Raw genomic sequence first — 22,181 nt, 5'->3', positions numbered from 1 at the left:
AAGAGCTGGGACTATAAGCCCCTGCCCTGGGGTGCACCCTCATGGTGAGGTAGGAGCATGAGGGGAAAAGAGGCTGTGAGAGCAGGAGACTGAATTAAGGGCTGGGGGTTCACGAAATCACAAATGGGAGAATGCTCAGCAATCTTAAAATCCAGGGCTGGGCCACAGAGCAGCCTGTAGGAGTGGAGTGTGAGTGAAAGAGGTGATAATCAAGGAGAAGGAACCTTGAGGCTAGAGGTTTTATGAGCAGGGACATTTAGGTCCACAGTGAGGTAAACTTGAAGTGAAAATTCAAAATGGAAGTCAGGTGCCAATATTTTAATATTTGAATAACCTTCAGGTCAGTAGACAGCACAAGGAGAAGTGCTTGGATCACCTCTGGATCCAAGGAGAGCTGGGGTGTAGGAGAACGAGCTGCCTCCCCTCGAGAAAACCTCCAGAAACAGTATCCTTGCAAGACACTGGAGGTGAAAGCAGAGACCCAGATTTTAGATGAGTCAGAAAATGAATAGAGTGACCATGAAGAGGTTAAGGCTATAGGAAAATTCGTTTATAATAAACTGGGGGTTCTGGAGGACACCCCAGGAGAACTAAAGGGAAGTCAGTAGTTAAAGCAGGATAAAAAGACATGTTCCTATTTTTTCCCATGGCCCTTGGCCTAATTTAATGCTGTTGTGTTTGGCTGACTTCACTCTCTTTTGTGAAACTCTTTTCTATTTTTGTCTTCCTAGCGTGACTCTCTCCTGGTTTATTGTCTGTCTCTCAGGCTGAGACTTATTTATTTTCATCCACTAGATTTTTATTGAAAAACTTCTTTGTGCTTCCTGGCCCCTTCTTCACTCCTCTCTTGTTAAAAACAAGTTCTTTGACTCTTTTCATGTTTCACTCCACTGACTCTCACTCTTGGGCACTGTAAATGTTCTCATGGCTTCCATTCCTACCCGTGTATGTGAATTCTATGTTGAGCTCAGAGCTCTCTCTGAGCTCCGGCTTACATCTCATCGACATCTCCACCTGGATGTCTGAAGCCCCTGCATCCTCCAGAGTGCCAGATTCCCCCACACTGCCCATCAAGGCTGCTTCTCCTCAGATGTCCTCTCTCCATGAATAGCTCCCCACCCAGTCGCCCTAAAGCACAAGAAAGATATAAATTCCAAGAGGTCAAGAATTTTTATCTCTTGTTTACTGATATACCCACAGGACCCAGAACAATAATGCCTGGCACAGGATAGGTGCTCAAAAAACATTTATTGAATGAATGAATGAATGAATGAGTGAATCAATCAATCAATCCTTGGTTCCCCCTCTCATAACTGCTCACATCCAATCAGACGGTTTTGCTTGATTCTTCTCTGAAACCCATTCCCCCTTCTTGAGCACTTCAGCCTTTCATAATTCACACTGTATAATTTTCCTACAGCAGCGTCCACCTTCCTGGAACTCCTGCCAGGTGGCTTTGCTGCAGTCTACACTCCACGCTGCCACCAGGGGAATTTTAATAATTAACAGTTAGTTCTCAAAACATTTAGGATTGCAGGGCACCTGGAAGTCAGTACTTTACTCTCTGCAGAACACCATGAAATATTATTCTTCTTAATAATACCACACAACCATTTTGTAGGACTTTATGGCATTTCCCACAGAGGGTTCTGCAGAACAGAAGCTCCAGAAAGTGCTCTGAAAAAGGTTTCCATGATCAAATGTGTCTAGAAAAGTGGAACACCCAATCCCTATCTCGAGGAATCATACCACACATGTGAGTGTCATAGAAGTTGATCATTTCGAAAGTAAAAATTTTAAAGTTTAACCTTTTGAAATCGAGCATTTCCCCCCAGTTTTTGAAAAACAGAAAAGTTCTGGGTAATTCCAACAAATGGCTAACAGGATTATCATTCTGTGAAAATTATTTTGGAAACAGAGAACTATACTCTTTTAAAGTGGGTCTTGCCTTTGTCAAAAACACATTTTTAGAAACCACATTTTGGCAGAATAAACATAATAAACATGAGCCCAATGATCAAATCTACTGTCAAGATGAGGCTGGCAGGCTGCACAAAGCTGATGTTGGATGAGACCTGGCCTCTTTAGCTTCAACTAGTGATCAGTGGTTGAGAGGTGCTGCCAGCTCCAAAGTTTAAGGAAATGTGATGGAAAAAGAATTTCAACTTTTTGAAAAATTGCACCCATTAACTTAATCTTTGGAAAGAAATAGATGATTATTTTATGTGTGTGGTGGACTTCTTGATCTAGCTGAAAAACCACAAATCATCAGCTGCATATTGAGAGAACAAGTGCACTGAAATACATATGAGACTATACCCCTGACATGCAGAAAATACACACCGTGACCTGCTTTTTGGTTGTTCCCCATGTCCAGAGGACTCAGATGTGCCGGAGTCTGTCACCATGAATCTGTAACTGGCCCTTCGTGTATCCTGTTTGACAGCTTTGCTGACTCAGCCACCTTGCCACATCTCCCTGTCCCTCAGATGCCACTGTTTGCCCAGTGCTGGAAGTCAGAGTGGCAAATGTGAAACTCTCCTGTTAGATGCTAATGGGTTGATAGTTTTGGGGTCTCAAGTGAGATCCTTCCACATCCCACACAGTCAGCAGGTTGACTGTGTGTTCAATTTACACTAAAATTGATGCGCTTTTTTTTCCCCAGGCTGTGGGGAAGATATTTTAAGAAGGACAGTTCTAAATTTCTCAAATTCCATGTCTTATGCCGGTGGTTCTAAGACTGGTGGCTCCAAATCCTTGAACCTAAGTGACATAAAGGTGAGAGACTAAGAATTATTTCCTAGTTTCAAAAGGTCAAATGATCAACCATACACTAGTACATTAAAAAGCCACTTCTGGGTCATCCATTAAGACCATCAGTATGTTCACACGTTTGATTTGATATCCCCAATGCTGCATATGATCAGCAATGATAGATAAACAATTAAAAGCAAAAAGGATACCAACAGGCTCAAACACAATATAAACATGTCTGCATACCTCAAATAAGACAGAAAGGCAGGGAAATGAGCAAAGCTGAAGGCATGTGTCTGCTCCTCTCTGTGTCTGGCAGAAAGTCCAGAAGTAAGCCATCTGTTGGATAATGGAACTAAGGGGCTCCATGCAAGATGAGAGGCCAGAAAAAGCCTAATGCTTGATGCTAGGGCCTGGGAAAGGACATCCTAGCTCATGAAAAACCCTAAAGAAAAACCCCAATGATCCATGGCCTGCCACAGTGATGGCCCCAGCAACCTGTGAACCTGGGGGACAAGGAGTCAAGACACAGACTCAGCCTGTGGCAAGACGTGCATTAAGCCTTCCACAGCCTTGTGACTGGATCAGTTCTATAACTGACATCCTTCTGGGCAGGGACTCTAAGCTGCCAGTGTAAGGCAAGAATTTCTAGACTGGGGAACCTCCAATGGGAGTACTGAACAGAGGCAGCCATACAATTGCTGGACAGAGTCAGTGAGTACTGAGAATGGAGAGAAAAAAAAAAAAATAGGTGTAGCAACCCATTTAGACCCTCTTAAAGTGAGCCTAAAACCCCAAATTCTAAACATCTTGAAGAAATCTAAAGCCAAGAAAGACCAATAATATCTATCAGAATAAATATTTACTCAAGCAAAAATGCATTTAAGAGTGAAAGAAAGATTTGAAAAGTAGGTTTAAAATCTGAGACAATTAAATAGCTAATTTCAGTTAAAAATAAAAATTAGGAAGCAAAGTCAGTGAAATGAAACAAGAACAGATACATACAATAAAAATCAGATCAACAAATATTAGAAATAAAAATTATAGTCACTGAAATACCCAATGAATTATATAAATTCTAAACTAGATATATTTGAAGAGAAATGGTGTAAATTAGAAGATGACACTGAGGAATGTGTCCAGAATTTAGAACAGAAGGGGAAAGAGGTATAATGAATTTTAAGAGGAAAGTTAAGAAAATATGGAGAATAGTTTAAGGCAATCCAACAAATATTCATAGGGACTTCAAGAGAAAATAGAAGTCACAGCAGAGAAGTTGTTGTTAAAGAGAAAATAGCTAAGACTCCTTCAGGCATTACTAGAGAACAAAGACAGAGCTTGAAATAAGCAATCAGATTGACAGCAGACTTCTCCTCAGCAACAATAGATGCTAGAATAAAATAAAGTAATGCATTTGAAGTGTTGAAGTGACAAACTGTATACCTACGCACACTTCACTTTAGAGGAGGCAAAAAAAGACATTTTAAAATATCAGAAAAGAAAAGATAATTTTTCAATCACTTGCCTCTAAAAGTAAAAAAACAAGCAAACATAAACAAAAATCTTGGGAAAGACTCAGTATAAGGAAGGACAGTGAATCAAGAAGGAAGGCATGGAATAAAAGAAACAATGGAGAGCACAGAAACTAATCAGCTCTACAGATAAACAGAGTCAACTAATTATAATAGAAAACTACATGGAGGGGTCAAATAAAGTAAACATTAAATTTTTTTTTTAAATTAGGGTAGCTAGAAAGATTAAATAATTTTGTTTTATTCAAATATAATTAATTATAAATTATGAATGTTAAATATTTTGTGTAATTCCATTTTTATATTTGTTATTTTAAAATAATATTATAATAATATCATTTCTTGCATGTAAGAACCTTACAGTAGTATTTGTCCACTTACCCTCTCCTGATCTTTGTGTCATAATTGTTATATATTTAATTATGCATATGTTGTAAACCTTAGAATGCATTATTACTTCTGCTTGACAGTCTATTATCTTCCTAGTATAATTTTTTTTTTTTGAGACACAGTCTTGCTCTGTTACCCTGGCTGGTAACAGTGGCATGATCTCAGCTCACTACAACCTCTGCCTCTTGGGTTCAAGCGATTCTTTCACCTCAGCCTCCCAAGCAGCTGGGATTACAGGTGTCCAACACCACACCCAGCTAATTTTTGCATTTTTAGTAGAGATGGGTTTCACCATGTTGGCCAGGCTGATCTCAAACTGCTGACCTCATGTAATCTGCCTGCCTCGGCCTCCCAAAATGCTGGGATTACAGGCTTGATCCACCCCGCACTGAAGTAGAATTTTTAAAATAAGAAAAAAATCTTTTAGATTTACCCACTGTATTAGTTTCCTGTGGCTGACATAACAAATTCTCACAAACTTGGTGGTATACAGCAAATTAAATTTATTCTCTCACAGTTCTGGGGCCCTGGAGCCTTAAATCAACGTGTCAGGTGGATCAGACTTTCTCTGGAGGCTCCAGGAGAATGCACTCCAAGCCTCCCTCCTGGCTCCTGCTGGCTGCCGGCACTCCTTGGCTCTCCTTGGCCTATAGCACAGCTCTCCAATCCCTGCCTCTGTCTTTACATCACCTTCTTCTCTGTGTGTTTGCTTCTGTTCCTCTTCTGTCTTACTTTCCCCTGCCTCACACTTATAAGGACAATTGTGATTGGATTTAGGGCCCACCCAGATAATCCAGGATGATGTCATCTCAAGATCCTTAACTTAATTATATCACAAAGACCCTTTTTTCCAAATAAGCTAACATTCCCAGGTTCTGGGAACTAGGACATGCCCGTATCTTTCTGGGGGCTACCATTCCCCCTGCTGCCTTTACATCTTTACCATTTTGCTGCTCTTCCTTCCTTCGTGTGGATCCAGATTTCCATCTACTGTCGTTTCCTTCTTCCCGAGGGACTTCCTTTAACATTTCTGATAGTGCAGCTCTGCTGGTGATGACTTTTTCAGCTTCTGAATGTCTGAAAAAGTCTTTTTTTGCCTTGGTTTTGAAAGGTATTTTTTTCTAGGTGTGTAATTCCAGGTCGACAGGTATTTTTGCTTTTGATACTTTTAGGATGTTGCTTTGTTGTCACCTGGCTTACATTGTTTCAAACTAGAAATCTGCTGTTATTCGTATCATTGCTCTGTGTGTGTGCTGTCTTTTTTCTCCAGCCATTTTTAAGGCTGTTCTCTTTATCACTGGTTTTATACGATTTGATTAGTTTGCCTTGGTGTTACTTTCTTCATTTCTTGTGCTCAGGCTTCATTGACTACTTTGGATCTGTGAATCTAGACAATTTTGAGAAACAAGAAGATGGAAAGATTTGCCTTACCAGGTGTCAAGGTTTATTGACAACACAGTGTGGTTTTGTTTCAGGAATAGACAAATAACAAATGGAACAGAATTATTGTCTAATTTTTATAAATGTTCCATGTGCTCTTTAGAAGGTGTATTCTCCATTATCAGGATGTGTTGTTTAAGACATATACCCTAAAGAGTTAGCTTGTTAATTAGACTGCTAGACCTTTTATATTCTTTTATACCTTTTGTGCACTTGGCTTACCTTGTATTAAGAGTGCTGTATTAAAATCTTCTATTAAAAGTGTAGGCCAGGTGCTGTGGCTCACGCCTGTAATCCCAGCACTTTGGAAAGCTGAGATTGGTGGATCACTAGAGGCCAGGAGTTCCAGACCAGCCTGGCCAACATGGTGAAACCCTGTCTCTACTAAAAATACAAAAAGTAGCCAGGCATGGTGGTGCATGCCTGTAATCCCAGCTACTTGGGAGGCTGAGGCAGGAGAATTGCTTGAACCTGAGAGGCAGAGATTAATATAAAGGTAACTACTGGAATAAAAATATAAACCTCTTACCAGAAAATATTTTAAGCCCAGTGAGCAGAGATTATGCCACTGCACTCCAGCCTGGGCAACAGAGTGAGACTTTGTCTCAAAAAAAAAAAAAAAACTGTATTTCTATCTATTTCTCTTGTCATTTATGTTTTATAAAGGTAATTGTTGTGTTATTTCATGTGTATATATAAAGAACTGTTATGTCTTCATTGTAGAATGCGGCTTTTCATTTGTGAAGTGGTCTTTTTGTTTTGTATAATGCTTTTTGGATTGAATTCTACTTAGCTGATAGCACAACCACTATTCCTATTTTTTGTATTACTTCCATTTGTTTGGCAAATATTTGTCCATCCCTTTATTTTTTAGCTTTTTTGAATCACTGTGATTTAGGTGTATCTCTTTTATAGAGCTGAATTTTGCTTTATGAGCCTACTTGAAAACTCTTTTAATAGAGAAGTTAAACTCATTCACATTGACTGATAGAAGTATTATGTTTGTTGTCAATTCAGTAATATTATATTAGGATTACTGTGTATACTATGTTATATTTTTGTCATACTCATTGTTTATCTTGCTGTATTTGGTATATTCTTTTGGCCTTTTACAATTTTTTCTGGTATTTATAGAGGTTTATATTTTTATTCCAGTAGTTACCTTTATATTAATACTTTGTATGACACTAAATCCTCTTTTTCTTACCTAACCTTTCATTATCTGGCATATTAATTTTAAATGGAATCCTTTAACTCCCATCTATTAACTATATGACAGTCAATGAATAAAAATATCTAGCCCTGAAATAAACTTATTCAGTAAATAGTACAATTGTATAACCATTTAAAACTAAAATTATTTCCTCAATTCATGCCGTAAATATAAAAAAGCAAAATGCCGCCCATTTTAGAAGAAATATATAAATTAACCTTATGACATTAAGAATAATTATTTTCAACAAGACACAGAAAGGGCAAAAAAATTATTAAATCTTACCATATTAAAATTAAAATTAAAATATGTATCAATGAAAAACACCAAAGCATAGTGAAAGTCAAGCAACAAAATGGAAGAAGATAAAAGTAATAAAGTGTAGCTGTTTAAGAATTAGTATCAGAAATAGATAGAGAATATCACCTTAAATGTCTTCTTTTGAGAAGTGTATGTTCATATCCTTTGCTCACTTTTTGATGGGGTTGTTTGTTTTTTTTCTTGTACATTTGTTTAAGTTCTGTGTCATTTCTGGATATGAGACCTTTGTCAGATGGGTAGATTGCAAAATTTTTCTCCCATTCTGTAGGTTGCCTGTTCACTCTGATGATAGTTTCTTTTGCTGTGCAGAAGCTCTTTAATTTAATTAGATCCCATTTGTCAATTTTGACTTTTGTTGCAATTGCTTTCAGCATTTTGGTCATGAAATATTTGCTTATGCCTATATCCTGAATGGTATTGCCTAGGTTTTCCTCTAGAGTTTTATGGTTTGGGGTATTTATTTATTTATTTATTTTTATTTTTTTATTATACTTTAAGTTTTAGGGTACATGTGCACAATGTGCAGGTTAGTTACATATGTATACATGTGCCATGTTGGTGTGCTTCATCTATTAACTCATCATTTAACATTAGGTATATCTCCTAATGCCATCCCTCCCCACTCCCCCAACCCCACAGCAGGCCCCAGTGTGTGATGTTCCCCTTCCTGTGTCCATGTGTTCTCACTGTTCAATTCCCACCTATGAGTGAGAACATGTGGTGTTTGGTTTTTTGTCCTTGCGATAGTTTGCTGAGAATGATGGTTTCCAGCTCCATCCATGTCCCTACGAGGGACATGAACTCATCATTTTTTATGGCTGCATAGTATTCCATGGTGTATATGTGCCACATTTTCTTAATCCAGTCTATCATTGTTGGACATCTGTGTTGGTTCCAAGTCTTTGCTATTGTGAATAGTGCCGCAATAAACATACGTGTGCATGTGTCTTTATAGCTAGCCATATGTAGAAAGCTGAAACTGGATCCCTTCCTTACACCTTATACAAAAATTAATTCAAGATGGATTAAAGACTTAAATGTTAGACCTAAAACCATAAAAACCCTTGAAGAAAACCTAGGCAATACCATTCAGGACATAGGCATGAGCAAGGACTTCATGTCTAAAACACCAAAAGCAATGGCAACAAAAGCCAAAATTGACAAATGGGATCTAATTAAACTAAAGAGCTTCTGCACAGCAAAAGAAACTACCATCAGAGTGAACAGACAACCTACGGAATGGGAGAAAATTTTTGCAATCTACTCATCTGACAAAGGGCTAATATCCAGAATCTACAAAGAACTCAAACAAATTTACAAGAAAAAAACAAACAAGCCCATCAAAAAGTGGGCGAAGAATATGAACAGACACTTCTCAATAGAAGACATTTATGCGGCCAACAGACACATGAAAAAATGCTCATCATCACTGACCATCAGAGAAATGCAAATCAAAACCCAAGGGAGAAACTTAATCCTGGAGAATTAAGAGAACAATCTGGCAGTATCTAGTAAATGTATATACCCAGTAATTCCTTTCTCATGTCAGAAAACGAACACACAGAAGACAGAAATGTTTTCAGAAGTCAAAAGACTGAACTCAAGTAACAAGTCAGATCTTTTCTCCAACCCTCTTCTTGCTAACTGTTCATGTGGAGACCCCTAGAAAGTTTTGCCCTAATGCTGGTGTCTTTCCTCCTTCCCTGGTCCCCCGGTAACTATCTATTATGTGTCTAGGGTCAACCATGCTTCCATTTCCACTGATTTTAAAAGAAAGTGGCCCTTAATATTTTGGTATTCATATTTTTCTACCCTTTGCCCTTTCAGCGCATCATACAGTGCTCTCTAAATGCACTTATTGGTGGTGCTCTGGGGCTGTGGGGGTTTACAGAAATCTCTAGGAAGAGTCTCATGAAAATCAAACAGTCTGCCTTTATTTAGCTAGTTTGTTCATTTGTTCAAGAGGATTTCTGTAAACAGTGCTTCCTTCAAGCAGGGTCCACCTGCCTTCCCTATCCTTACTTTCTTGGGAGGTGCCTGCAGTGCCATCAAGGGAGCTCAACCCAGAGAAGAGAGCTCACAGATGAGATCTGAGGCCCTTTAAAGATGTGGCATCTAAGGGAAGACGATTTCCTCGAACAAGCAGGAAACACATGCGCAGCAGTCCCAGAGAGAGACACCAGAGCAGAGAGCTCTCCCCTGTGATGAGGGCATTCAGGGATGAAGCAAGGGGAAAGCAGATCTGGATGCACTGGGCTTGCTGTGTGTCACCCAGGCCCAGGCCAGCAGCCTGATGGGAGAGCCTGGTCAGCACTTTGCCCCAAAGGGAAAGAGCTTGGCATAGATCCCACAGTAGGATAGTGGTCAGGCTGGGCAGGGACACCGAAATAATAATGACACAGGCTGAGTTTCTGGGTAAGACATTTCTCTCTTGTCCTATTCTCTGATTTTAGTCTCCATCTTCGGAGCTCTGTACCACTGATAATCTGATGTTAAGACAGAGACCTGATATCCTCTCTTCTACTGTTAAATCCTCTGTTCTTTTCTCCAGAGCAGATTCTCCGTCTCCAAACTTCCTCATTCCAGGCTTGTCTTTGTCAGCCTTACACTGATCCCGGGATCTTATCACACTGGGTGTTCAGGGGCTTCTTTTGCATTAACCTGGTGCAGCACATAGGTGGATGGTGGCAGCTCTGGGCTTTGTCCTAGGAGTCTTAACAAAGCACCTGAATAAAGACACCTCAAGGCCAGCTCCATGTCACAGGGCTGCTCCTGATGATTGCCCTAAATCCTCCACCTTCTGTGAAGTCAATTATTGCCAACAGCCTCTGGGCAGGATGGCCCAGCAGCCATCCTCACGGAGTAGTTAGAGACCTATTCCAGCATGTACATCTGACTGTGCCATCACTGCCCTTCACATACATACTTCACAGCATCTACACCTGAAGTGACTCCTGTTTTCACTCGGAATAAAGCCTAGGCTCTTCATCAAGGCTTGCAAGGCTGTTCAGCACCTGGGACTATTCACCTCAGCTTCGGCCCTCACACTGAGCCCCCAGTGTCTTGGACGCTATCAAACTAACCTTGGTATTGAGGATGCAAAAGATTTGGATCCTGTATCCATGTTGTTCCTGCTGTCTGGACTGCTCCTGCCTGCACTGCCTACTTCATACCTCTCACTTCCACTCCTTCAGGGCACAGCTAACGCAGAGCTGAGAGGTCATCTTGCTCAACACACTCTCTCTAGAGATGAGAAAACTGAGGCCCAAATCCCAGGTCAGTTCTCCTGACTTTGCGATCAGACAGCAGACCTCAGTGTCCAATGCTGCACTGCATCTGCAAGGAAGCTCTGGTTTCCAGGTCCGGCTTCTCTTTCAGACCTGTCACATCACCTGCGAAAGAGGTTTTGAGGCTTTCTGCACTTCCCTGGCTGGTGTTCTCCCACTGCCCAGGGCACTTGGTGGGAAAGGTTGTCCATGCACTTTAGGGTTTTTTTTTTTTCTTTTCAAAAAAGTTTTCTTCTATCAATATTTGATAAGGGTAATTTCAAAGACTTGTTTAGTATGATCTGCACATAAGGAGCCCTTCCGAGTATTTATCACGCTTGGGGTATAATTACATTCAAATCCTGAGACACTGTTGCTAGGTTACTGTTGCTCGAGGTTCCTCCAACCTCCATGCTTGAAGTGCTCCTCCCACCTTGTGGCATTAGGAGCAGGGGACCCGCAGTTTGGGGCTTATGATTCCCTTTAATAAAGACAATATTCTGGAGTCTCTTCTGTTGGAGAAAGAGAGGGGGAGAGAGAGAGAGAAAGCGAGCGCTAGCAGGGGCATTTTGCACCCCTCCCCAGGTAGGGCTGGAGCTGTGAATCACATCATGTGGTTCCTGCAAGTGAGATTAAAGAGACAAGAGATAGGGAGGGGACAAAAGGAGGGAGTTGCTGTCGTGTGAGACTCCCCAGGAGAAATCATCTCTGAGTCTTCCCTTCCGCCCTGCATTCTCCCTGAGAACTGAACATGCATCCTGCCTTCTTCAAGGGTCCCAGGAGGAGTTCCGTGCTGACAGCAGGAGGCCGCCCTTGCCCAAGGACAGGCAGCATATGAGGGGAAAGTACCTGCTTTCCAGGCTGAGCAGCACTGGACACTTAATCTAAGGTGAAAAATCAGGATGAAGAGGCCAAGGCCAGCCCCTCTCCTCATGAGGCTCCTCCACGTTAAAGCCACTTCTATTAACCAAAGTGTCCGAGGCTCTCTGGTGGATCATATCTGCACTTTAAGCTGGGTTGGAGATGGCTGGTCTTGAACTTGCCCTGTTTTCCCCAGTGCCTCTGAGAGGCAGGAGCAGGGACAGAAGGCCCTTTGTTCAGGCCTCTTATCTCCAGAGGTCTCAAGTGTAAACTTTTTGTTCTTATTTTCGGTGAGGCTGAGTGTACAATCAATGCCTTGCTTCTTTCCTTCCTTCCTTCCTCCCTCCCTTCCTCCCTTCCCTCCTTCCTTCTTTCCTTCCTTCTGTCCTTTCTTCTTTCTTTCTCCACCATTAAACAAGTCAACTTGTTAAATGCACACCTTTAAAATATAACATATATTTATAATTCTGTTTTGGCATTAAATTTTTATTTCAACCAACTAGGTCCTTTAAGGAGAGGAAGTGGGTATGCCCCTAACTACCTCTAAAGCCTGGTTTAATTTCTCCCTGCATGCGCTCAGCACCTTGCAGTAGATTGCTAACCCTTGGATGCTGCTTTGTGGCTGCACATTGATTAATGGCTGGTCAGGGCCGAACTCACACATTTGTGTTTAATGCACTACTGAGTCAGCACCGCTGGCCTTGGGGAAGAAGAAAAGGAAATAAAACCTGGGCAGATGGGTTTGGGATGGAGTTTAACATTGGATTTGCATTTTCTGACTCTGCTGCCCCATCTATTTTCCACTGGGCTTTAGAAATGTGCTAGATTGAATTGTGTTTCCTATTGCAAATTTTAAATAAGGTGGATGAGACAGTAGGCATCACTATCCACAATCCCTTGGGTATAGATGCAAATACACTTTTAAACCTCAGAGCAATTTCCCCAGTCATCACGGAACAATAATTGCTATTAAGCAGAATATATACCCATGTACACATACACAATGTTTATAGCTCATGAGTGGGGAATATCAATTGTTGTCAATGTTTAATGCAAAAAATAATTAAAGGCTTACATTTGTTTCAGATATTTACAAACAGCTTTGCTATTAATATTTATCTTCAAAACCACAAGCAAGATCTGGAGATAATTCTTTGAGACATCAGCTGGGTAAAACATATTTTGTTTCAATATTAAAAGTTTGTAAACCAGCCTGGCATGATGGCTCATTCCTATAATCTCAGCACTTTGGGAGGCCCAGGCAGGCAAATTGCTTGAGCCCAGGAGTTTGAGACCAGGCTGGGCAACGTAGTGACACCTCATCTCTACAAAAATTACAAAAATTAGCTTGGCATGGTGGCGCATGCCTGTAGTCACAGCCACTCGGAGGGGCTGAGGCGGGAGGATTGCTTGAGCCCGGGAGGTGGTGGTTGCAGTGAGCCAAGATCACTCCCCCCTGGGTGACAGAGCAGGACTTTGCTCAATAAAAAAAAAAAAAAAAAAAAAAAAAAAAAAAAAAAAGTTTGTAAGCTTTCATAGCAGGAGACACTGCAGAGTGTGGATGTTCCTAGTCGAGAAGGTTAGTTAAGCTGCTGAAGGCTTTTTCTGTACAAAATGGTCAAGGATTCCTGGATTCTTCTAAATTGCTATGGAAAGTGGGAAGAGGAGGCAACCTTAGTTAATTGTGGGAGTCTTTGTTTTAAAGAATAACATATTTGAAGCTTTTCAAATGCGGGTGTTCACCCACGAACTTACCGGCAAGGAGAAGAGCCAATTTTGCTTTTACTGGCTGCAGGCTTTGTCTCTGTTCCTGCCCAGGAGATCTTCCCAGTCTTGTGAAAGAGGGCAAGGCAAATACAGAAATAACATCTGTAACCATCAGGGAAACAGAACCCAAACCAGCAAGTTTAATTGAGGGAGTTTGCTATGGGAGAATAGTTATAGCAGGTTTGGAATAACTGAACACAAGGGACCATGAGGCAACCCAGAGATTAACAAGAGAAACCATTGCCCCTCAAAGCTGGTCAGGCAACAGGCAGAGACAGTGACTGGAGCCCAGGAGCTGGGGCTACCTGGTGGAGCCAAGGTGGGCACAGACCTTGCCAGTGATGTCTCTCCCCAAAGCAGAGAGGGGGAAGAAATTCCCTGGATTCTCTTCTCTTCCTTCCTACCAAGCTCTCATCCATGCCTCCTACTGGCTGGCCCTAACCAGAAATTGGTGGGCACATGTCGCTGGGAAATGCAACTTGTTGTGTCAGGCCTCTGAGCCACAGAGCAGAGGAGTGGGAGGCAAGGAGTGGATATACAGGTAAACTAGCAAATGACTTGTATACTAACTCAGGAGGCTGCACATGGTGCCAGGTCAGGAGAGGGGGACAAAATAATCAGGGGAGGGAGTGGATGCTTTCCACTGGGGAATCCAAAGAAGGCTTTCTGGAAAAGGCACCACCTAAGATGGGTCTTGAAAGATTTAGCGGGTCCCATCAACAAGGCTAGGGGTGGGAAATAGAAAGACACTGTTAACACACATCTGTAATTGAAGGTAACATCCAAGATGGCAGGAGAGATTGTTTTCAGATGGTAGGACATGGAATCAGGTTCCATGGGGTATGAGACTAGAAAGGGATGGCTTTCCCTGAAGGCAAGACAGGGAAAAGGGCTGTCACAGATGGGTTGCTCAGGAAGCAGACTCAGACAGATATTGGCATGCAGTACATTTATGAGGGAGTGCTCTCCGGATCGTTCCATATAAGGACAATGGAAGCCATCCAGAGTAGACAGTGTGGAGTTGGGCTGTGATGCAGTCATGACAAGGGCCTCAGCCAACCCCATGGGGAGCTTTGGGGCTGTGATGACCCTTCAGAATTGTCCTGAATTGGGATAAGGGAGCTGGACCTTTATACATTTGCATCAACTGGTCACTGGGTAGAGGCTGCCCCAGGAAAAGGCATAACCCTGAGTGAGTCAACTCTCTCTCTTTGGTCAAGGAAGATTCCCAGTGAGGGCTGGCAACCCCAAAAACACTTTCATCAGCTGGGAATGAAGTTTTTCAGTCCCAATTTGAGCAACACACCAGTGTCTGTTATAAGAGGTCAAGAGAAAGGAAGAAAAATAATGGCATCGAGTACCTACTATGCACCTGGCAGTATGCTTTACTTCACATATATTCCTTTACTTCCAGGCTACACCCTGCAAGGTCATTATCATTAGCTGCACTTTACAGGAGAGGAAGCTGAGGCTCAGAGAAGGTAAGTAGTTTGCTCAATGTCCTCAATCAGTAAGTAATGGGGTCAGGACTTGAACCCACATCAGTCTGCCCTTATGACAATAGGAGTAGTCTGAGCTCTCCCATGGGGAGCCTCCAATCTCTTTAAATAAAGAAATGAGGATATGATCAAGTAAGAGAGGTCAGTGATTAGATGGCGGAGGGTTTGTAGAAAGCGGAAAAAAATCTGAAATATAACTACTGAGCTGAATGTGGTACGTAGAGAACAAATGGACTGATTGCCAAGTAACAGAGAGGGCCTCAGAGAGGTTAGATTGCACAGATATTTTCTGGCGTATCCTGGACTTTTCTATTTTTTTTTCTTTGGCTGCCCAGCAAACTGCCCTCCTACTTATGTTGAAGACTTTCCCATCCTATGAGCCCAGGTGGGAGAAGCTGAAAATGGCAGAAGGTCACTTTTCCAGCTGCCCTGTGCCTGGTGAGCCTGTGACACAGACCCCGTTGCTCACATATCCACCCAGTTTGGTGCCATAGGTGGTAGGTAAGTGGGAGCCCCAAGGAAGCTGCTCTGGCAGCATGGTGCTGGTGGCCTGGCCTGGTGCCCTGTGCTGGGTAGGGGAGGGATACTGGCAGCATCTCTGGTTTGGGGAAGGTAAGGGGCCCCAGAGGTCTGTTTGGCAGGGCAATTTTGACCAAAATTGGAACATTGCTTTTAGCTGGGTAGCCCCAAGTCTGGCTCTATAGCCTTTCTACCAATTCATGTGATAATCAACATCCTTAAAAAATCATTATCTGGGAACAATTTCATACTTATAAAATATTGCAAAAATAGTACAAAGAATTCCCATAAACCTTTCACTTAGATTTCCAAAATGTTAACACTTTATCACACTTGCTTTATCATTCTCTGTCTTTTGCTTATCTATCTACCTATCCACTTTACTTTAGTAGTAATTGTTTCAGATAAGATTCATCAATGGATGTTAAAATAATGACTGAAAGAAAGACGAGAAATAAGATATTTACATAGCCTCCAAACACATTCCTTCAATTGTATGGGGGAAAGAGGAACTTTACAGTGAAGAAACCTGGTAGGCACCACCTGAACTCAGTGATAAAACTTAATATCCTGAGTAACGGAACAAATCAACACCAGATGCCTCTTGATAGAATGCAGTGAGCTGAACACACCATCACTTCCTGGAATTCCCGCAAAAATGCACAACCTGAATTTACTCATAGGGAAACATCAGAAGAAGCCAAACTGAGCTTCAGTCTACAGAGTAACTGGTTTGTTTTCCTCAACATCATTTTAATAATTTTTATTAAGTTTTTTTAAGGTGTTAGGCCACCCAGGTGTTTTGCAACCTGCATAGCACCGAACCAATGTAAGGGCATTCTTAAAGTTTTGGTGTTGATGAAGGCCATGCTGATGAGGAAACTACCTAAATGGGCACTATTCCAGGAACTGGACTGTCATGTTTCAAGGGATCCTCAGGTACAGCAGGTGGACTGAGAGGGAACAGAGGAGAACGAGGAATGTTGGAGAGACGAGGGCCCTGAATACGGTGTTCAGCATCTAGATCACAATTAATAACTTTGTGTCTCCGTTTTCTACCCTCATTTGTGCTCCACGGCTGCAAAACGATGAAATATTGATTCCTTCCTCTAGTGAATCAATGTGGATGTTGTATGGCAAAGATGAAGGCAGAGAGCTCATGCTTTCTTTGTGCCCCACCCTGAACACTATACTACGAGCCAGTGTGTTGCAGTGGTTAAGCGCTCAGGCTCCGGAATCAGTTTCTTCATCTGTAAAATGCGGATAATGATAATGCATGGTTCATAGGCATGATGTGAGGAGTAAATGGGATATTGAGTATAAGGTGCTTAGCACCATGCCTGGTCCACCATGAACACTGAATAAATGTTGGCATTGAGTGTGACTAGAAGGGCTAATGCTTGTACTTTGCATGCCAACATTCTCCTCTGGTGTGAAGTACAGAGAAATTAAGAGTAGCAAAGGGAATTTGGACTTAAGATCAAATACTCATTTCACAGACAAGGAAGCTGAGTGCTGGGGGAGATGTCTGGTCTCCCCTGGGTTAGCACATGGTGCACCTCCAACGTTTCCCCTCCCTATTGCCAGGGTCCTCTGTCACCTCCACTTGTGCTAACCTTGGTGCTTGGAGAGGTGGGCAGGGAGCTCGTAACTCCATAATTGCCTTGTGGATTTTATGGGGCCATATAACGGTGTGCTGTGCAAACTTTTATGAGTATTTATTTTACAATGTCTATTGAAACCATTAACACTTTCATTAGCTAGATTCAGGGGCTGAGAGAAGCTTGGCTTCCCCACTAAGATCAATTTTGTCTGTAATTTTAAATAAAAGTTTACAAAAACATTGCATCTTCGTCCCAAGGAAAGGAGATGTTCTTAGTGTCTTGCAGTCCTAGATGGAATCAGGAATCCACGATCAACTATTTATCCTTTTCAATTCTGTGCTGGACGGAAGGAGACAAATGGAGATTACTAGGCCAATCAGTCCATAATATTTATTACTTCTCCTTCAAACTTGAATTCTGCCCACAAAGCTGATCTCCAAGTGACCTTGTGGTTTCTGAGACTGCACTTTCATTTTGGATTCCATAATTTCTGGTAGGTAGGAACTTAAGCACAGCATACAAAAAAAATAAAAATATAATTTCTAATTCTTTTTAAAAATGTATCTGTACATTATGGGAGACTATACCTGATAAAATGAGGATACAGTTTTTAATATACTTCCAGTATATGTACTTCAAAGTCTCACAATTGTTTATCAGAATTTCTAAAAAGTAGTGAGCTCAAGTTGTTAAGAGAATTATTGTGCTTGGAGGAAGTGATGATTATGGAGAAGTGATTAGGTAGATAAGCCAGTACCTGGAAGTGTGTCTCCAGCTGGGTAAGATGAGGACATGAATGGTTTTTCTCAGCACTGAGGCATGTTATGGGGCTTGCCTGGTTAAAACAAATGCACTTTTTCCACCTCTACTGTTGCCCCAGTAATGTGCAAAAAATTGTCCCAAGCGCTGTAAAGAATTATGCAAAAATGAATTGAATACTAATTGTCTGAGATACAAGTTGTTTTGTTGATTCTTTTTTCTTTGTGAATTTTGGCTGCAGTGAGTGGCGTTTATCTTCCTTCTCAGTTCATTGCCCATTTATTATCACTGGGCCAAGCCAATGATGGGCATGCCAAGCTCTTCTCTTCTTCTATTTATTTTTTCTTTTATCTCCCATGCCACTTTCCCATTTTCCTCCTCCCCATAGGAAACTGCATTATTGCCTTTGATGTCTATCTTTTTGCTTGTCTATGTATTTACAAAATGTTTACTGTTTGCTGCATGTATTTTTAATGTATGTAAATGATATTGTGTTATAGTAATCTCATTCCTTTTCTTACTCTTCTCACTAAACAATATGTTGTTAAGACTCACTCATATTGCTATGCTTAAATCTAATCTGTTGCTTCTAATTGCTGCATAATGTTCCATTCAGATTTGATTTGTGTGAAATGGTAGGCTATCTGGAGGAAGAGGTCTATCTGAACTTTATGAAAATAACTATCCTGATTCCAGGGAGAACAGATTGGAGTCAGTGGGAGAGAGGGCAGCTAGGAAGAAATTTTAATAATCCAAATGGGAGGTAACATGGGCTTACTAATGGGGAAGAAAAAGAGAGGATGTGTGTTTGAGCTATTTAGAGGTCAACTTGATATATGTTGCCTACCTATTTGGTAGAAGGAATGAGGAGGAGCAAGGAGTCAAAGGTAATACTAGCATTTTGAGCCTGAGGATGGGTGGTTTCAAGTGCCAGTGATTGAGAGTAGAAGCACAATAGAAGGGTGGATCAGGTTGGGGAGAGGAGGAGGGAAAAGAAGATGGCATTAAATCTAAGCATTCACTATTCATTCATTCAGTCAGTCAGTCAGTCAACATTCATTGAGCACCTATTATATGCCTAACATTCAACTAGCCCACCAGGTAACAAGGCAGGGTGGGATGTTCAGAGTTCTCTAAACTCATTGAGTGGAGAACATAGACAACAATCACAAAATAAAAACATCATCACTAGTTGTAATAAGAGCCCTGGGAAGATGAAAGTCTCAAGATTTAGGTAGAAAGTCAGGAGAATATTTTCTGGGACATGTGATTTCAGCTGAAACCTAAATAAGTAGAAGTTGCCTGGGTGAAGAGTGAGGGGTAGGGGGTCATACTGAGGAACAGCATGAGCAACGTCCTGGAAGCAGGAAGGAACTTGGCACATTGGAGGTGTTGAAAGAAGGCCAGTGTGGCTGAAATCCAGATGGGCTGGATCCTGCAGAAGCTTGTGGGCCATGTTAAGCCTTTTGAACCACCCTCCAAGAGCAATGGGAAGTATTAAGAAGTGTTAATCAAGGGCTCACCATGCTCAGCTGAGCAGTTCAAAGCATTGCTGTGTGAAGAGAGGATTTTAGAGGCAGTGTGGAAGTGTGGGAAGAACTTTTATTGGGGGGTGGGGGGTGGGGTTGAAAGAAGCCCTGAAGGTGGGAAATAGCTTGGTGTGTTGGGGGAGCTGAAAGAGGCGAGTGTTGGCTGAAGTATGGAGAATAAGCACAAAGAATGAGCAACCTGGAAACAGAATTTAGACTAGGTCAGGACTTGAAGGCCAACCTGCAGAGTTTGGATCCTATTCTAAAAGGAAACCATTAGGCAGCTTCAGGCAGGAAGTGACCTCATGTGACATGGGGGTTGGGCATCAAAATCTCATTTAGGCTGCTGTGTAGAGCACAGATTGGAGAGTAGGTAGAGAAATTCTCAAGAACAGTGGCAGTTTTTCAGTTGAGGGGTAAAGGTATCTTGGATTAGGGGTGGAAGAAGAGATGGGGTGAAGATTGATTTGAGAGGTTCTGAGGTCGAGTTTATGGGGTTTGATGATGGATTGGATGGGGGGTTGCAGCGGGCTCTGTGTCAAGGGTGGCAGGTGGAGCTTGAGCTGCCTGTCAGATATGCAAATATAGGTGTCCAGGATCACTCGGATATGACATTCTGACATATAGGAGATGGCTTGGAGGCAGCAAGATCAATTTCAGAATCACTTGTGCTGTGGGAAAACTGGAAACCATTAGAATAGGTGAATCATCAAGGAAAATTGCATACAGACATAAATTGGAAAATGCCTATTTGGAAGATAAATTTTTATTTGAGATTTTAAATTTTGTTATTCATTTTGAGACATTAAAAATGCAGTTGCAAGCAAAGAAAAAATGTAATCTCATATTCTTATCATTATAAATATATTTGGTCAAATCTGCTAAGTTGAAAAAAAAAAAAGAAATAAAATATTACAACCCCCACCCCCATCCCACCTGCTGGCAACCACTCTCATAAGTTCAGGGTGGCAGGATACTTTTTTGATATACTGATTCATCTTTGCTTTCTGTTTTTCCTTCCCTCATTCAGGCAGGTTGCAAACTCTGCGCTTATGTGCCTCAAGAGACAGGGCTCTGGATGTATGAGGTCAAGGCTGTCTGAAGAAGATGAATATGGTAGAGATAAGGAGGATTTTCCAGTGATTGAAGAGAGACTTCCTAGTCAAGGACTGTGGTTTTGGAGCAGAGCAGCAGGGTCGTGTTCCCTGTCTCTGGCAGTACTCTGAACATTGGCAGGACCTCAGAGTGGTGGCCCAAGGTGCCTAGGCTGCCAGCCTTGCCAAAACTTCCCTTCAATCAGCTTGGTGAGGAAGGAGAAGGGGCTGAGGCAGTGGGATTCTCAGTGGTAATCCAGGGTGAACCAATGTTCTATAATAATATTAGAGGGACCTCCCTATGTCTGGGCCCTGTGTCCTACCTTAGGACCATGGCACAACTCCCTGTGGGGAGAGGGAAGAGAAATCCCTGTGAATCACTCAGGCTGAATTTCTCACCAACCCAGCAAGATGGAAGCTCAGAGTTGAAATCAAGTTGATTAATAAAACATTTTAAAAGAAAGCATTTCTTAAACACTTAAGTCTATGGATAGAAATTTATACCAAATATACTTAATGAAAAGAGACCATGACAAAGACTGAATTGGAAGAGCTAAATGTGGAGGCCAAGAACCAGAACCTCCTGGGGAAGAGACAGCTCAAAAGGAAGAAGTGGTCAACTCTGTCATATGGAGCAGAAAGTTCTGAAAGGGAAGGCCTGAGAGGTGGACAGTGATTGACCCCGTAGGGACACTGTCCTCTAAAGGATGGGAAGACTGAGAGGATAGAAGGTGTACGGCAAGTGGCTGAGAAGAGAATGGGAAGGGCAACTGATGTAGGCTCCATTCAAGAAGCTTGTTAGTGAAGAGAAGTTTTTAAAAATATGTTTGTTTTGTTTAGGGCTAGGAGAGATGAAATTTCTGTCCTGGCATACAGGGAGAAATAGGAGAGTCTGATTAAGAAAGATAGAGTGGATAACTCATGGAGGGAAGTGCCTGAGCTATGGCAGCCAGGATGCACTGAAGAGGGCTGGTCCTATAAGGAAACAGGCACACCCTTCAGAGCTTGCAGGAGGGAGGACTGCAAGGCTCCATGTAGAGGAACCCTTGAAGTCCAGGGGAGGGTACTGAGGGAGCACATGGTGGATGACCTTGATCTTCTTTACAAAGTATGTAGAGAAGTCAATGTCTACCCATAAAGGACTTGGGAATAATAGAAATGTCTTAGGGTCAACACAGAGAAGAATGCAATAAGGAATCATCAAAATCAAATAAAAGTACAACAATAATAATGTTACCATTATGATGGTATCCTATATGGTAGGCACTGTTCTGTGCCTAGTACTTACTAATTTATATAGTTTACTTCCTAGACATTATTGTCTTCACTTTATTCATAAGGAAATTGAGGCTTAAAGAAGTTAGATAACATAACCTCATTAAATAATGAAACCTTTTGTTGTTATACAACAAGGAATTCGCAGAGCCAGAGTTTTAACTAGAGTCTACTGGACACCAAAGTCCATCTTAATCCTTCGCCATACCAGAGAAACATAGCAGTTGTCTTGGTTCATTTTATGCTGCTTTACAGAACACCACAGACTGGGTAATTTATAATGGACGGAGATTTATTTCTTACATTTCTGGAGTCTGAGAAGTCCTTGATCAGGGTGCTGGCATCTAGCGAGGGCCTC

At 41.7% G+C, this 22,181-nt stretch overlaps 1 long non-coding RNA gene across 3 annotated transcripts in view; it reads left to right on the top strand.

The window, feature by feature from the left end:
• Positions 1 to 22,181, top strand: part of LOC105374122 (uncharacterized) — a 161,587-nt gene that overhangs the window by 121,573 nt on the left and 17,833 nt on the right. For 2 of the 3 annotated variants that reach the window (XR_924528.4, XR_924527.4), the window contains exons 5-6: positions 14,959 to 15,025; positions 15,379 to 15,544. This is a non-coding gene — a long non-coding RNA (uncharacterized LOC105374122). Of the gene's footprint in view, positions 1 to 14,958; positions 15,026 to 15,378; positions 17,406 to 22,181 lie in introns of those variants that run through there. The other variant, XR_007096111.1, reaches the window with a different exon arrangement.

Source organism: Homo sapiens, chromosome 3 (assembly GCF_000001405.40).
Source record: "Homo sapiens chromosome 3, GRCh38.p14 Primary Assembly".
Lineage (NCBI taxonomy): Eukaryota > Metazoa > Chordata > Mammalia > Primates > Hominidae > Homo > Homo sapiens.
This window is presented reverse-complemented; position numbering and strand designations above follow the sequence as displayed.